The sequence below is a fragment of the Homo sapiens genome, chromosome 3 (assembly GCF_000001405.40).
Source record: "Homo sapiens chromosome 3, GRCh38.p14 Primary Assembly".
Taxonomy (NCBI): Eukaryota; Metazoa; Chordata; class Mammalia; order Primates; family Hominidae; genus Homo; species Homo sapiens.
In genome coordinates, this window is record NC_000003.12 from 36,484,459 (window position 1) to 36,501,302 (window position 16,844).

At 40.7% G+C, this 16,844-nt stretch overlaps 1 protein-coding gene across 10 annotated transcripts in view; it reads left to right on the top strand.

Moving 5' to 3' along the window:
• The window catches only part of STAC (SH3 and cysteine rich domain), a 167,504-nt gene that overhangs the window by 103,955 nt on the left and 46,705 nt on the right, over positions 1-16,844 (top strand). For 7 of the 10 annotated variants that reach the window (XM_047448767.1, NM_003149.3, XM_011534037.4 and 4 more), the window contains 3 exons: positions 519-600; positions 1,676-1,791; positions 8,693-8,771. In XM_047448767.1, coding sequence (XP_047304723.1) covers positions 519-600; positions 1,676-1,791; positions 8,693-8,771 — 277 coding nt within the window. Of the gene's footprint in view, positions 1-518; positions 601-1,304; positions 1,468-1,675; positions 1,792-8,692; positions 8,772-16,844 lie in introns of those variants that run through there. The other 3 variants (NM_001292049.2, XM_047448770.1, XR_940496.3) reach the window with 2 other exon arrangements.

Genomic DNA, 16,844 nt, shown 5'->3' on the forward strand with positions numbered 1-16,844 from the left:
AGACCATGAAGGAGAGGTCAGAAAAACAGAGAATAGAATCCAGATTACAGAGCAAATGATTCTGGCTAAAGCTCTTCAGATATACAGGAGCTTTTAGGCCTCCCTCTGAGGTCCACTTACCCATGCCCAGGCCTTTTATTTATATTATTTTAACAAACCACAATAACAAACTGTGGTGAAATAATATGTGGCAGTCCACTTGTAATCCAGGAGGCAATGAGGATCTGGGATGCAAAGGAGGCTGCAGTGCACTGCAGGAGGAGGACAGACACGACTGGGGAGGCCAGGGCCAGGACCTTGTTTTCTGGATAGAGTGTAACTTGCTAGTTGCCACTATTCCTCCCTGCCTCTGTGTCCCTGCTGGGATTAAATTGTGGAATTATAGGATAAGTCGGCATGTTAATGGGAGACAGGAGGGTGCTCCTGGAGAAACCAATTGGTTTTATTTAGGGAGCTCTTGTATGGTTTTCTCCATCTCCAGTGACATTAACCCCTTGCCTTCCTCATTCTCTCTCCAGCCAAAGGGGTTTCGGCGTTACTACAGCTCCCCCTTGCTCATTCATGAACAGTTTGGCTGCATTAAAGAAGTTATGCCCATTGGTGAGTTGGGACATTGATGGGTTGAGTTGAGTTTGAAGCAGCAAAGTTAACATTAATGGCTACTGTCCTCCCATGGCTGCAAAACCCGTGGGGTATCTCTGTGTGTTTGTTTGGTGGCTATTTGGGGTATGACTGTGTGTTTTGCTGGAAGGGAAACATAAAGTGGACCAAATTCTCCAGGAATTTTCATCCTCTCCCTGATGAAGCTCAGAAAACACCTAAATCCCAAAGGCTACTGATTAGTAATTCCACCATCAGCAGCATGGTGGAGTGGAAAGAACACGGAGAATGGCTTCCCCCAGACCAGGCTCTAAGCCCAGCTCCCTATTGACAACTGTGTGTCTTTGAACAAGTTACTTGACCTGTCAACCCCCACAAAATGAGAACAGCAATTGCTGCTTTTCATAATTGCTATAAAAAATAAATATAGGTTATTCACCCATGCTTAGTAGGAGCTCAGTGAATATATTATTCTCTAATGCAGATCAAAAGATGCCCTCTATTTATTGATAGCTTTGGCTTGGATTCTTCTCTAACAATATCTTTCAGTTTACTTCTATTATTTTTTTTCTCTCTCTGAAAATCTCGACATCTATTTTTGCTTTTTTTAGGGGGGGCAAGTTTTAAACTAGAAATTTATAAGTTAGAAAGCTTTTAATTAGAAATTAATGAAGCCCAGTAGTGACAAGTTATTTCTAAAACAGTTGCCTCCTACTGCAAACTTTGTGTCTCAAGTCTTTGTACCTTGGTGAGCACAGCCTCCCAGTAGAGGAGATAAAGCTGATCCCTGCAAGAACCTGGAAATCAGAGAGGAATAACGAAAGAGGAAATTCAATCAGGAAGAATTCGGGAGCAGAGTACTAGCTGGTACATGGCAGGACCTGCAAATGGGAGCATGCTGGGTGGGGGTGCATCTGTGAGGAACACTTGGCCATGAAAGCCCTGTCTACCCAGAGGCTAAGTTCCTCTGCACAGAGCCTGCTTCTCAGGCGCTGTTCACCCAGGAGATGTGGTAGGCAGTTGGCTGGGTCCTCTCAGATGAGCTTCCTCAGATGAACTTTCTCTTCTGTTGCAGCCTGTGGCAATAAGGTGGACCCTGTCTACGAGACCCTCCGCTTCGGCACCTCCCTGGCCCAGAGGACAAAGAAGGGCAGCTCCGGCAGTGGCTCTGACTCACCTCACAGAACCTCTGTAATTATCCTCTTCCTTCCTCGGTTTGTCTGTGGTGGTCTTGGGCAGAGCGGGCCTCAGGCACTGCAGTATGGGGTATTCCACCTGACTGCCTCATGAGGGCAGGTCTGCAGGGAGTCAGGCACCTGCCAAAGAGAAACCCAAAGTGCTTTGAGCCACTAAGGATTAACTTCCTGTTGTCAACACCAAGGGATTATTTTACTTTCCTGTCCAAAGACCATCCCCTTGGCCTCATGCTCCTTGACCCTTCCCATGGACCCCCTCTCCTTTACCCTCCCACCAACATTAGATAACATATGAGTCAACATACAGAAATGTTTGGCTCAAACAATGGTCAGGAACTTGGAAATCCTGGCTATTTCCAGTTTTCCGTTTAGCTACATTCCAGTTCAAAGACACAGCTATTTCTCACATCTTTTGTCTTTTCTCTCTAAGAGAGGGCACACCTCTTGATTGCACACAAAAACTGCACTCTCAAAGTTACTTGAACTGTGACTCTGTGGGACACTCACTCTTCCAAGCACCTCTCCTAAGTTCTATCTGACTTAAACTGAGTGTTCCATGCATCTCTGTGACCTGTTATCATCATCTTGTCTCTGGTTGTTTCAATCAGAATTTCTATAAATGCTCCAAGATGCCATACAACTCTGCAGCCCATGCTGAAAGCCACCATTCCTCCAGCAAAGAGGCAAGGACCTTCCAGTTCACATGGCCACTTAGGATAGCCAGCTCCTAGTTTCCATTTCCATTGTTGCAGCCCCTGCTGGACTGGAAGCTTCTAGGCAAGACACAGATGAGCCTTCAAATGGTCTGCCCCACTGAGTCCTCTCAACATCAAGTGACTAGGTGGATTGTGGGAAGAGGGGCAGGGCACATGCCTGGGAGGGGTTCTCAGAGACTGAGTTGAAGCAGCTTCCTCATTGGGTGCAGGTTAAGCCACAAGATTGTAGGTAGGTGAATAGGAATGTAGGTCGGGTAGGCAAGTAGGTGGGTTTATAGGTCCTCTATTGGGTGCAGTTTAAGCCACAAGATTGTAGGTAGGTGAATAGGTCGGGTAGGCAAGTAGGTAGGATTATAGGTCCTCTGCCTGATGCCATGTGGCTATCCTCAAAGCCATCTTTAAACTCACTGAAAGCCCTGTTCTTCATGCATCCACTGATTTCTAAGAGGAAAGAACTAAAAATAATTTTTACTCTTTTTCCTTACTGTACATAAAATTGACATCAGATAGTTCTTTCTTCTACTCAGTTAGCAGACATGAATGAAGGGCCTACAGTTTACTAGCACTGTAGGGGACACAAAAGAAGAGGAAGTCATAGCTTTTACCCTTAGAATTCACAACTTATTTCTGAAGACCAAACCAATAGCGAAGAAATTTGACAATGGTGGCATTGTTTACCATTTTTAAAAAAATACACTTTTATATGTCTTATCCCATTTTATTAAGATTGAGAACGTAACATACACGTGTTAAGGATATTATAATGACTGTGTCATATGAGTACTGAAGCATTTCATAGTAAAGATGAAAAATGTTTCACTTCGGTAGACATTGCCTCAAAGCAGTGAGGGGATAATGTGTGTCATTTTAAGATACCTGATGACCTCCTTAGGGAGGAGATCATTGTTATTTGGCATCCACAAGATAATGCTAATTCTTTTACTGAAAGAAGGATAAAAATGGTGCTAAATGTGATGAAAATATACAAAGCATACATGGGTAGGATTTATATGTAAATAAAGGCTGCTTAGGTTGGGTAACAATAATATACATAAAGTGTTTAGCACAGGGCCTGACATAATTGACACTCAATGAATGGAAATTGTTACTGTTCTATATTTTAATTCATTTAAAAATATTTTTTGAGAGATGGGGTCTTGCTCTATTGCCCAGGCTGGCCTCAAACTCCTGGAGTCAAATGATCCTCCTGTCTGAGTGTACTGAGTAGCTGGGATTACAGGTGCATGCCACTGCACCCAGCTGTTTCATTTTCATTACGCATCTAGCCTTAACAGTGTTTTCTTTGAACCTGAATTATTGTGAAGTTAAACAAGGAAGTAATCCATTAACAAGGCAAATATGTTACCTGAGAAGGGCATTTCCCAGAGCCACTCATGCTTGGGCAGTGTTAGAAACCCCTGACTTACTCGAGGGTAACTTCGCTGTTCTGCTCAGCCCATCTCCTTCTCTGATGTGTCCTCCTGTAACTCCTTAAGTTGGAGTGTTCCCAGGGGTCTGCTTTTGCTTGGTCTTCTTATTCTACTCTCTTTGGTTGATCTCTGTCACATTCCTTTAGTTCAAGCACCGTCTCTACATTGATGACTCCCTTAGGTATTTCCTCTTGCCCAAGCACCAAACCAGTCCTACAGATATTGCAAATCAGCAGATTCAGACTAAACTCATATTCCACGAGTGATTAGGTCCTATAATTCAAAACTGAGAAATAATATCAAAGATACCCTTAGTATTTATCACCAGTACTAGAGGTTTGAACCTCATTATCTCTCACCTAGATTATTATAAAGAAATAACCGTGCTACCCTTTTCAGCCTACCCTTGACAGTACCCCCTGATTTATCGACCCTTAAAGAAAGGCTTTGCGCCACTTCCCTAATTAAAATCCTCTATTAAGTTGCTTATGTCAGAACAACGATGCCCAAACTCTTAGGCATGGGATATGAGTCCTGCCATTACCCTAAAAACCCACTTTCCCCTGAACTCCCCAAGCCCTATAACATATCCATTCCTTAGAACATGTTGCTCCACCGAGTTGAAATTTTTTAAGACCCACTCTATTTTTATACAAACAATGAAGAGTCCCCAGACTCCCCCATGCATGGTGAGTTGCTCCTCCCACAAGCCTTCAAGAATTCCTTTCTTATAGAATATATATGATTGCATTGTAATCATCTGCTTTTGTGTCTATTCCCTGAATAAATACTGAGTATCTAGTGAGTATCTAGGTCCCGTTCCTTATTCATCTCATTACATCAGGGACTCATAGAGTGCCTGGCACATAGTGAATACTCAAGAAATGTGTGAAGAATGAGGAAGAATTAACAAGGGACTTTTGAAGACTGACCTCAGAATCCTCCGGGATCCGCACAACACTTCATTTCTCACACCTTAAGCTCTGGGCACAGTTTGCCGTTTTCTGCATAGCCATGCTCTGTCCAGACATTCAAACTATCTCCACCTCTGTCAGACAACATCTGTCCAAGCTTCTGGGTCTGGTTGGGCACCCACCTCTTCCCTGGTGCCCCGGAGCATCCAGTTCATTAATCCATTAGTTATATATTGCTTAGTAATTTTCACTTTTTTGTTTGATTTTTCTCTCACTTTCCCAGTCCTCTCCTCAATTAGACTAACCTCCTTAAATGCAAGGATTCTTTTATTCACAGCTTTGTGTTTTCATTACTTTATACCAGTGATTCTCAAATGCTGGGGCATATCAGAATCCCCTGGAGAATTCTGTAACACTATAAAGGCCCAGGTTCTGCCAGCCCTTTGTAGAGTGTCAATACATATGTGGTGAGTGCACGAATCAATGAATGAATGAGCACCCTCCTCAGTCAAAACTGCCTAAACTTCTGTAATAGAGGGCTGGCAATGAGCTAAATCAGTGGTTCTCAGTGTGTGGTCTCCGGATCTGCAGCATCAGCATCACCTGGAAACTTGTTAGAAATGCAAATTTGGGTTTCTGTCTCTCAGAACTGCAAAATCTGAAAATCTGATTTGGGGAGCCGAACGATTTCCATTTTAAAAACCCCTCCAGGTGATTCTGATGCACATTAAAGTTGGAGAATTACTGAGTTAAATTAAAAACTAAAGTTTGCTTCCAAAGAAATCAGCCCTCTGTCTCTCTCCTCTTCACCTTTGCTCTTACTCCCTCTCTGTGTGAACAGCATTTGAGTGACACATTTACAGTGGCCACAAGCCTGGATCTGAAGTTTGAAACAGAGATCCAAGAATGCTAATCATCTCCCTAACCCCACGTACCACGTTGCATCTCCTTTCTCAGGGGAGTGAGGAGGGCCATTGCTGTCAATGAGTTGCTTCCCCAAAGCCACACAGAGCTCACTCTCAGCTTGCAACCATCTCCCCTTACAAGTCAAGACTGTTTGTAGATGCCACCCAGCAATCAAAGGAAAAGCACAAACAAAACTGGTCAGAGTAGAGAGATCTCTGTCCACTTTGACCAGCATTCTGAACAAGCCTTTCTCAAATCTTTGATGAGAGCCAGTAGGTCATCTCACTTCAGTGCAAGCCTCTTCCATGCTTGTGGGAGGCTGGCATTGGTGGAAGGGCAACTGAAAAGCCAGCACATAGAGGCAATTGCAGAGAGACGGCTCCACAGAGATGGCTCTGATCTATCTGCACGAGCAGTAGATGGCTGCTCCTGTGGTTCTGAGCTTTGCTGACCTATGACAAACAGACCTCCTTGGAAACATTCCATAGTAGGCAATGAACATGTCAGCCTCCTCATTTGAGGCTGATGCTAAGAAGCAGCAAGACCACCAGAGGGACAATTGGGGATGTCCCAGTTTGCTTTCATCTCTAATATAGCTTTGTCTTTAGCAACATCTGGACCCTACAGACTGGTTTTAGGAGCAAAAAGCATAGTTTTCTGAATGTCAAAGGGATGTCCATTTATCACCGTCCACTTATACTGGCACTGGTTCCACCAGTAGATATTTGTTGGAGTTTAGCTCTGTGAAGGCATTGTTCTGAGAGCTGCAGGGAGACAAAGACAAACCAAATTGTACTTAAAGATCTGTCACTTCACTCTTTCCCCAAAGTCCAACCATCCTCAAAGGAAGAAAATAGAAACATTGATTGGTATTTTAAAGTGATTTTGCTTCCTGCCAGCAGGTCAGTAATAATGAACTTCAGCATCCTGCATTTTTTATTTTATTTTTAGTATTCTTATGTCCTAAAGTTAACATATGCCTGCATAGCAAAGCTTTGTTCCACAGCTTTATTTTCTTCCAAGGCTGCCGAGGCATTTGTTTTACATTGTTGAGAAGTCACTGCCTGGCTGTTTCCAAATTGTTATGTTTTCCTCAATGTACTTTCAAATGTTCTAAAATATAAAAGGCTTGATGGCTTTGGGAAAGCTAAAAGAAACCAAATTCAAACAACATTCTCGGAGTTAGTTGGCTAGTTTATGAATAATCTTCAGTTTCATAAGATTAAATTAACAAATGAAATTCTGTACAAACCAACTTCTGTACAGAAATTGTGAGCTTCAAAGGGAGCAGGACATGAGTGACTTAGAGACCCTGTGACTTTTTTTTCTTCTTTCTGCTGTGTCATGATAGTAGCAGTGTTTGAAAAAAAATCTTAAAGCTAAATTGTAACAAAAATCAGTCTCTGGAGGGTGGTGCTAAAGGGCTCTAGAGCTGGCTAGGAGAGCTAAGAAGATAATTTGTCCCTCTCCGATAAGATGTAAATAAATAATTTTTTAAAATATGACTGTCAGGCCAGGTCTGGTGGCTCACGCCTATAATCCCAGCACTTTGGGAGGCTGAGGCAGGCAGATCACCTGAGGTCAGGAGTTCGAGATAAGCCTGGCCAACACAGTGAAATCCTGTCTCTACCAAAAATACAAAAATTAGCCAGGCATGGTGGTGCATGCCTGTAATCCTGGCTACTTGAGAAGCTGAGGCACAAGAATCGCTTGAACCCAGGAAATGGAGCTGAGATTGCACCACTGCACTCCAGCCTGGGTGACAGAGCAAGACTCCATCTCAAGAAAAAAAAAAAAAAAAAAAAAAAAAAATATATATATATATATATATATATATATATATATATGTGACTGTCCTCAGAGGCCCCCTAAATTCCTCTTGTGAAGAGGATAGAGCCAGTTAGACTGAAGCTGGGTCACGTGGCCCTTTGAAAGAGGCATTCAGTGTGGTATGCTAGTAAATGTTTAACAACCAAGTCAGAACTGGACCCTGATTTGAAGCGTTTGCCAGTTCCATGGAGTAAAACTCCTGTGGTGATCCATTTCATGCCACCAGTGTGATAACCATGAGACTCTCACCAGCCCACAAAGATGCTTTAGCACACCAATGAATAAAGCACAATGCTTAAGAGCACGAGCTCTGGAGGCAACGCCTGTGATTCACAGCCCCAGCTCCACCATGTATTAACTATGGGGCCTCAAACAGAGCTACTGATTCTCTCCGGGCTTCAGATTCCTCTCTGAAAAATTGGTCTATCATAGGATTAATTTGGGGAATAAATGAGATGGTATCTATAAAGTCCTTAAAAACATTACATGGTAAGTGATCAGGAAGCATTAGCTATTTAGAGTGTGTTATTGTTATTATTGTTGTTTTTGTTCTTGTTATTTCTGTAACCTAAGTGGAAGAATGATTGTGACTCACTTTAAAAAGAGAGTCAGGATACATATTATAAAAACAATTAATTTTGCAGCAGTGGAAACAGTATTTAACTTGTACCTAAGTAGTGCATCCCTCCATAGTGCATCCCATTCTCTAAAACTAATATTTAAAACACCTGTAGAAAGAGCTAGCGTTTTATTGAAAGTTTTAAGTGACAGGATATGGACAGGCATTCTGATTTCTCTTTGTTGCCTATTCCTGGGAAGAAGCCTGGCTGTGGCCTTTGCTTCTAGACATTCATGAATATTCAATACTCACTGGATACCTACCATCACCAAGCCTGAGCCTGCTATAGACACCTGAAGGGAGGTACAGTGCCCACGAGTGGACATAGCTTCTCTGAAGTTAGCCAAACAGCCAAGACAGCAATCACTGGGTCCTTATGTGTCATGCAAATTCTACCTAAGCTCTCTTACACCAAAGTATCTGCTCAATTGACCACAGATATAACATTGTTCATCCCATGCTCTTTCTTCTTTCCTCCAAGACTTCAGATCTTGTGGAGGTTCCTGAGGAAGCCAATGGGCCAGGAGGCGGGTATGACCTAAGGAAACGCAGCAACAGCGGTGAGTGAGGGAGTTGGCACAGCACAAATGTGATCACATGAGTCAGGGTCAGTGGGCAGGCCAAGTTGATTTCCAGTCCCCTTGCTTTCTCTGCTAGCTCTGGAATTTAATCAGGGCGAGTGTTCAATGTTCTGGAGAGAATGTGAGCATTGTTTCTGGTGGATTTCAGTGATTTGCTCTAATATGTTCCTGAGTTCTATATCCTGAGTTCTCATACTTTATGAGAGTATATTTACTCTTATGAGAGTATATATACATATATATATATATAAACTGAGCTGTATTGGGGTTTAAGAGTCGCTTCCAGAACTTTTTGTGAATACGTCATTTTCTCCACTGAGCTAGATTAGATTACATTAGCAAACCGTACCACAGAGAAGCTAATTTGTGCTACACCTTAGGTACCTGAAACCAAGTGGTGGTGGGGCCCAGGAGAGAAGTGTGGGCCTCACATTTGGCTCCTTCCCCAGCAGAGACAACTAAGAAGCTCAAAAAACTGATATGTACAATCCAGCCAAACATTCTATATTAAAATTATTTAATCTAATAATTTAAGCCTTTGTTATAATAATTTCTAAAGTATTTATTAAATGCTAACTTCATACTTCCACTTGCTGACATTAAGAAAGAGCCACCTCTGGCCGGGCGCGGTGGCTCACGCTTGTAATCCCAGCACTTTGGGAGGCCGAGGCGGGCGGATCACGAGGTCAGGAGATCGAGACCATCCTGGCTAACACGGTGAAACCCCGTCTCTACTAAAAATACAAAAAAAATTAGCCGGGCGTGATGGTGGGCGCCTGTAGTCCCAGCTACTCGGGAGGCTGAGGCAGGAGAATGGCGTGAACCCTGGAGGCGGAGCTTGCAGTGAGCCGAGATCGCGCCACTGCACTCCCGCCTGGGCCACAGAGCGAGACTCCGTCTCAAAAAAAAAAAAAAAAAAAAAAAGAAAGAGCCACCTCGTAATCCAGAGCTTAAAGACATGTGACCAGATCCTTATGGATGCATTCTTGCTAGGCCTTTTGGACATCAATAACTACTTAACCTTCACTAGTTTATCAAAAAATATTTATGAAGCATTTACTATCATTAGCAAAAGTGTATTAGTCAAAGTCCTGCAGGACCTGAGTTGCATTGTTAACTTGAGCTGAATGCATTCTCATGGCAGAAGTTATCCCTCCAAACTCCACTCCAAGCCCTGCCTTTTCCAGCCTGGATGCAGAAATTCCTCATTCGATACCACATAGCAGTTTTGTCAACAGCTGTCTGATGAGGTATCACTTTTACTTCCTTCACTCTGGGAATTCATTTATGGCTCTTCTTTAGTTAGGACTATGCCTGTGTGATTCCCACAAGGCACCATGTGCTCAGCTGCCCCAGGATTTTCCTTCCTAAATAAGTGCCAGTGTTCACCATGCCCCCCCTTGCCAGACCCACACACATCTACTAAAGCTCACCACTGGGGTAAGGATTCTTTGGCATCACATGAGGGAAACTGTACTTTTAGATAATGCAAACAACCACTGAGCACTTAGCAGTGCCATTAGAGAGACAAATTAGAGGGTATTGGCTTCGAGGGGAACTTCATAGCAGGTCAGCAGCACAGCAGGGCCATCCCAGCCCAACTGTCTGGCACTGCAAGACCAGCAACTGAATTTAAACAGCAACCCTAAAGTTTCTCAATATCTGACTCACCAGAGACTTGCATGATAATGCTTTAAGTGTGATCAGCTGCTCAGTCCTGAGTCTGACCTCTGCTTTCCCCTTTCCCCTGACACTCTTCTCATCAACATCACTGCTGGCCTTCTCCTCACTAACTGCGCTGGAAACATTTGGTCCTTGGCCCATTGTTGCTCTGGAAGCAGAGTGCTAGACTTCACTTAATGCTCATGTGATCCCAAAGCAGTGACCTAGCCTCTCTCTGCTTCAATCACCTCATCTCTAAAATGAAGATAATAACACCAAATCCATAGGGTTCTTATGATCTTTGGATGACATAATGAATGTAAATACTATCCATACATTGATGATTCAAACTTCATCTTCAGTATTAGGCTTCCTTGCTGCCTCCAGATGCCTATCACCTATTGGACATTGCCATCTGAATGCAGAATAGTCATCTTTAAGTTAACCTACCCAAACTTTACTCTTGATCCCCTCACCCAGCCACACATTCAGACTGGCTCTTCCCACAGTTGTCTCTGCTCAGTAAATAGGAACTTCATTCAACCAGTTGATTAGGCCAAAGTCTTTGACATCAGCCCTGACTCCCTCTTCCTCTCACACCTCAGACGTAATCCATCAGCAAACTCTATCTGCTGCTTCTCAAAATTATGCCCAGCATGTGCTCACTGCTTAACTCTCTGCCTCAGCCATCCTGGCCTGGCTCTGTCTATGCTGTTGCTCACCAATTCCTTGAGGAGTTAGAACACAATTTACACTGAGGGTTTCTTCTCTCAAAAGGTGGTCTTAATAGGATTTTAAAATAGGAAGGGCTATATTTAGCAATCATTGCTATGTAGCATCACTGCTATTAGCAAAGCCATCATACAGTCATAAAGTGTCAGAGATGCAGGTAGAGCCTCACTACCCTAAATGTGGCTCATGGACAACTCACGTGAGCATCACTTGAAAGCCTGTTAGAAATAGCAAGTTTCAGGCCATTCCACACCTGCTGAATCAGGATCTGCATATGAATCTGTGGTTCATAGGCTCATTAAAGTTTAAGAAGTAGGACTAGAGGTCACTTAGTCCAATTCCCTCCCCTTCAATACACACACATGCACACAATATCCCCCGTATAGATAAGGAAACTAAGTCACAGAGTAGTACACACAAAGACATCAAGTTGACAATTTTCCATCTCTTCTGTGTTAAGGGGCATTTTCACAGCCTTTCTCAAAGAGATCTGGTGAAAGAACTGAGCAAGCAATAAACTCCCAAAAAGTGTTGGAGATGTATTAACAACTCTTTTGATCAGCAATAGCTTTCTCTACAATGCACCCTGAGAAGCTAGGTGGATTAATTATGCAGCAATTTGCTTCAAAACACTTTCCCTTGATTGGCTTTAATGTCCTGTCCATGCAGTTTGAGAAACCACATGGAGAAAACACCCTACATATGTGGTCCAAGTTCCCACAGATCTTCTCACTCATGCAAGGAGGGTGTTGCTGTTCAGAAGCAGTGTCTAGGATTACAGTCACAACCAGTTCTGCATTACATGTTCATTTATGTCTTAAAAAATGCAGTGCATACAGGTGTCATTTCTTCCAGCCAGCTATTATGTCAAATTCCTTGAGGAATATCTCCAAAGCCACCTTGGAAGGAAGTACAATTCATACTAATTTCTTTACTGCTAAGAGTACAGTCTCTCCTTTCTCTCTTATAAATGATCCTTGGCAGGTCTGAGTATTTATGGTTGTTGTTTTGAACACTATTCCTGGATGCATCATAAATATACATGGAGGAAATTGTTGGTCTTCACCTTTGGCTTAACTGCTAGAAGCTTCACTCATAACAAAGTAACAAGCAAAGAGAGAAGTAAAATCTCGCCTGAAGTAAAATCTGGCCTGCCTATTTCAGCTCCAAATGCCAAATAATAATGTTATTGGCTGCCTTCAGTAATTGCATTTCAGAATGACTCTGTGTGATCATAATTTTCCTGGAAGAGAGACAGAAGAGGACATAAGCAATACAAATTCCTAGAATTTTCTTCAAAAAGGGCTGGGTTAACCACAGCCACTTAAGGATATTACAAAATCGAATATTACCTCACTTTGCACTAAAGCAATTTTATTCTAAAAAAAAAAAGGCAAGCTCAGATCTGGAAAATATATCCTAGCCTTTAGCATGTACTAATTCAATATCTCAAATTTTAAGGTGTCAAAAAGAGCAGATATTTTCCTGGTTAAGTTGGCAGATGCCCCTGGTTTTGGTACCACTCCAGTGGATATTTCTACATTACAGATGCAAATATTTGTGGTATGTTTCTGCAACACATGCTTTGTATCAAGTTCAGGTAAAGATCTTTTTAAAGTTGAACAGAAGATTCCCTTTCCAGCATTGTGGAGAACTGGACATTCAGAGGAATTTTTCCCAGTTTAGCACTCCTAAAACTGTTAAGAGAAAGAATTGTTCTAAAAAAAATTCTAGTTAATGCATGGCTGAGCTGGCAGCAAAATAAGGCAATTCCTTAGAGTCTAGGAATGGCAATAAAACATGAATTCAGAGATACAAGCAGGTAAAGGATTTACTATGCACATCCCTAGAGCCTTAGCTTGGGAAATAATAGGCCCCATTTATGAACAATAGACAATAAAATGGGGAGTGGCCAGGGTATTAGGTTGGATGAAAGACCCTTTTGAAACATATTAATACCCCAAAAGATACCCTTAGGATCACTGGACAAACAGGATTCCCTGCAGAGGAATATGCTATACCAGCCTTAACTCAGGTGGAAAAGAATGGAAACAAAAAAGTGGAGAGGAAAGGAAAGAAAGAAAGAAAGACAGGCAGAAAAAAGGAAGGGAGGGAGAGAAGAAAGGAAAGAAAGGAGGAAAGAAAGAAACAGTCTTCTTACTTGGATTTTAGGGCCTGAATTCATACTACCTGTATGGGCAAATAATATAATAATATGAAATTTTAGTTTAATGTAGTTTAAAGTGGCCCAGGTACAGTAAGATCACCAGGCATTTGGCAGAAACAAATATAAACCCTCTCTAGAGGAAGAAAATTTTAAACCAGACCTCAAAAACTTCTCAGAAATGAACACTCAAAGAACACAAGCTAACAATCAAAATTCACCAAACACATGAGAAAATGAGCCGTGATGAGTAAGTATTAGCAGAAACAACCAACTTTATGGTCAGATTTTCAAGACTGTACATGTAAGAATTATCAAATTAAGAAATATATAACTATATAATTGTATACATTTAAAATGTTAAAAATGGACCATAAAACATAACAAAGGAAAAAGAGACTATCAGAAGTAAACAGGCAAGCTTGAGGAAAGTCAAATAGAACTTCGAGAATTTTTTTTAAGTAGAAATTTGATTGATGGGTTTAACAACATATTAGGCATAAAGAGAGAATTAGTTCCCTAAAATATAGAACCAAAGAAATGTTAGGGTATAGTTAGGAAGCCAAAGCAGTAGAATTTGTGAGATTAAAAGTGACATGAAAGATGAATAAGTCCAACATGCATCTAAGTGACAATTTAGAAGTACATAAAGAGAGAATGGGGCCCCAGGCACAGTGGCTCACGCCTGTAATCTCACCACTTTGGGAGGCCGAGATAGGAGAATTGCTTGAGCCCGGGAGTTTGAGACCAGCTTGGGAAACATTGTGAAACTCCATCTTTACAAAAAATACAAAATTAGCCAGGCGTGGTGGTGCCTGTCTGTAATCCCAGCTAGCTGGGAGGCTGAGGTAGGAGAATTACTTGAACCTGGGAGTTTGAGGCTGCAGTGAGCCATGATTATGCCACTGTACTCCAGCCTGGGAGAGACAGCACCAGACCCTGTCTCAAAAAGAGAGAGAGAGAAAGAGAATGAGAGAGAGACAATATGTAAGAACATACTTGTGGAGAATTTTCCAGAATTGATTAAAGACACCATTACTCAAATTTAGAAATCTATACCTAGACGTAGGTTGCTGAAACTGCAGAATTTCAAAGATAAAAGAAAACATAAAATGCAGTATAAAAGACTGATTACCTACAAAGAAATGAAAATTAGACTGTTACTTCTTACAAATTACAGTATAAGTGAAATAACAGTAGAATGCTATCTTGAGTTTGCTGAAAGAAAAGTGATTCTTAACCTAGAATTGTAAATGAAGCAAAACTATCTTTCAATAATATATTTTTCAGACAAAAATTGTATTTACAGTTCAATTAAGAAAGACCTATATTCAAAACATTTTAAAAAGATGTACTTCAAAGAGGAAAATATGACCTCAATGGAAAGACGGAAATGTAAGAAGAAATAAAGAGCAAAGAAAGTGGTAAACATGTGGTTAAATCTAAGCAAACACTGGACACATTTTTTAAAATAATGTTTTTAAAAAGTTGTTAATAAAACATTAGCTGAAATACTGACTTTATGTGGGAAATGGGCATTCAGAGATTATGTATTGCTTGGGAGGCGATTAAATATACTATTTCACTTTCTATTTTGTTAAAACATATCTCATAAAATTTCTAAGATGACTGCTAAAGGAATAAAAATAGACTCAACTTACCAAACCAGAAAGGGAACCAAACTGAAAGATGAGAAGGAGAAAAAAATCAATCAATTCAAAAGAAAGAAGGGATGGAAAGTGGCAAAATAGAAGAAAAAGCATAGAAAATTTGGGACAAATACAAAATAAAATGTTAGGAAGGAATCCCAATTTATCAGTAATCAAAATAAATGTAAACTGATTTAAGCACTCTAGATAAAAGAAAGATTTTCAGACTAGATTTTTTAAATGACCTATATACTATTTATAAATATCTAAAACATAAGGATGTAGAAAATTTAAAAAAACAAAAGTTTTTTTTTAACTTTCTGCAGGGGGAAGAAAGAAAAACATAGGCAGAATAAATAACTTTTCAGACATAGAAACCAAGGGGCAACCACAGGCAAATATTAAGCAAAAAAAAATATATAGCTGTATTAATGTGTGAAAAATTGACTTTAAGACCAAGAAAGCATTACTAGAATTTAAAAGTGTTATTTACATGGTCATGTTCACTTCATCTGAAGATATAAATTCTAAACTTGCATATACCTGATACATAGCCTGAAAAATGATAGAAACTCAAGGAGAAATTGACAAAATTATTCCAAATTCTTGAGTGATTTTAAGATGCCTCTCAGTTATTGGCAAACCAGATAGACAAAAATATTCTGTACAGATATAGAGGATTTGATGACACATTTGACAATCCTAATCTAATTTACCTAAAAAGGACACTCCATGTAACAAGTAGAAGATGCACATTCCTTTTAAGAACACATGTGGTACATATACACCATGGAATACTATGCAGCCATAAAAATGAATGAGATCATGTCCTTTGCAGGAACATGGATGGAGCTAGAAGCCATTATCCTAAACAAACCAATGCAGAAACAGAAAACCAAACACTGCATGTTCTCACTTATAAGTAGGAGCTGAACAATGAGAACACATGGACCCAGGGAGGGGAACAACACACACTGGGGCCCGTCAGGCGAAGGAGGTAGGGGAGGGAGAGTATTAGGAAAAATAGCTAATGCATGCTGGGCTTAATGCCTAGATGATGGGTTGATAGATACAGCAAACCACCATGGCACATGTTTACATGTGTAACAAACCTGCACATGTACCCCAGAATTAAAATTAAAATTAATTTTAAAAAGAACACATGGAATTATTTAAAATACTGATCACCCACTAGGTCATAAAGCCAATTTCATGAATTTCAAATAATTATTATTATATAGAATACATCTTTCTGACCACAGTGCAAATTAGATAGAAATCAATAGTCAAAAGATAACTAGGAAAACCAATAATTTGTAAAATAAAAACACTTCTAAAATTTTTATAGCTTGGCTGGGCATGGTGGCTCACACCTATAATCCCAGCACTTTGGGAGGCCAAGGTTGGAGGACCATTTGATGCCAGGAGTTCAAGCCCAGCCTAGGCAACTTAGGGAGACTCTGTCTCTACACAGAATTTAAGAAAATTAGCCGGGCAGGGTGGCATATGTCTATAGTCCAGCTACTGTGGAAGCTTAGGGGGAAGGATCACTTGAGCCTGGAAGGTCGAGGCTGCAGTGAGCTATAATTGTGCCACTGCTCTCCAGCCTGGGCGACAGAACAAGACCTTGTCTCAAAAACAAAGAAAAAACAAAATCATATGTTAAAGGGATTCATAATAAAGACTGGAATATATTTAAAGCTAAATAAGAATGAAAACATATCAAAACAACACGTATCCAAAGTGCTAAAGTTGGGATTTGAGTATTTAGCTTTAAAATGAGTGTTAAAAAAATAAGAAAGTCTGAAAAGTAATATCTAAACACTATACTTAAGGAAAATAAAA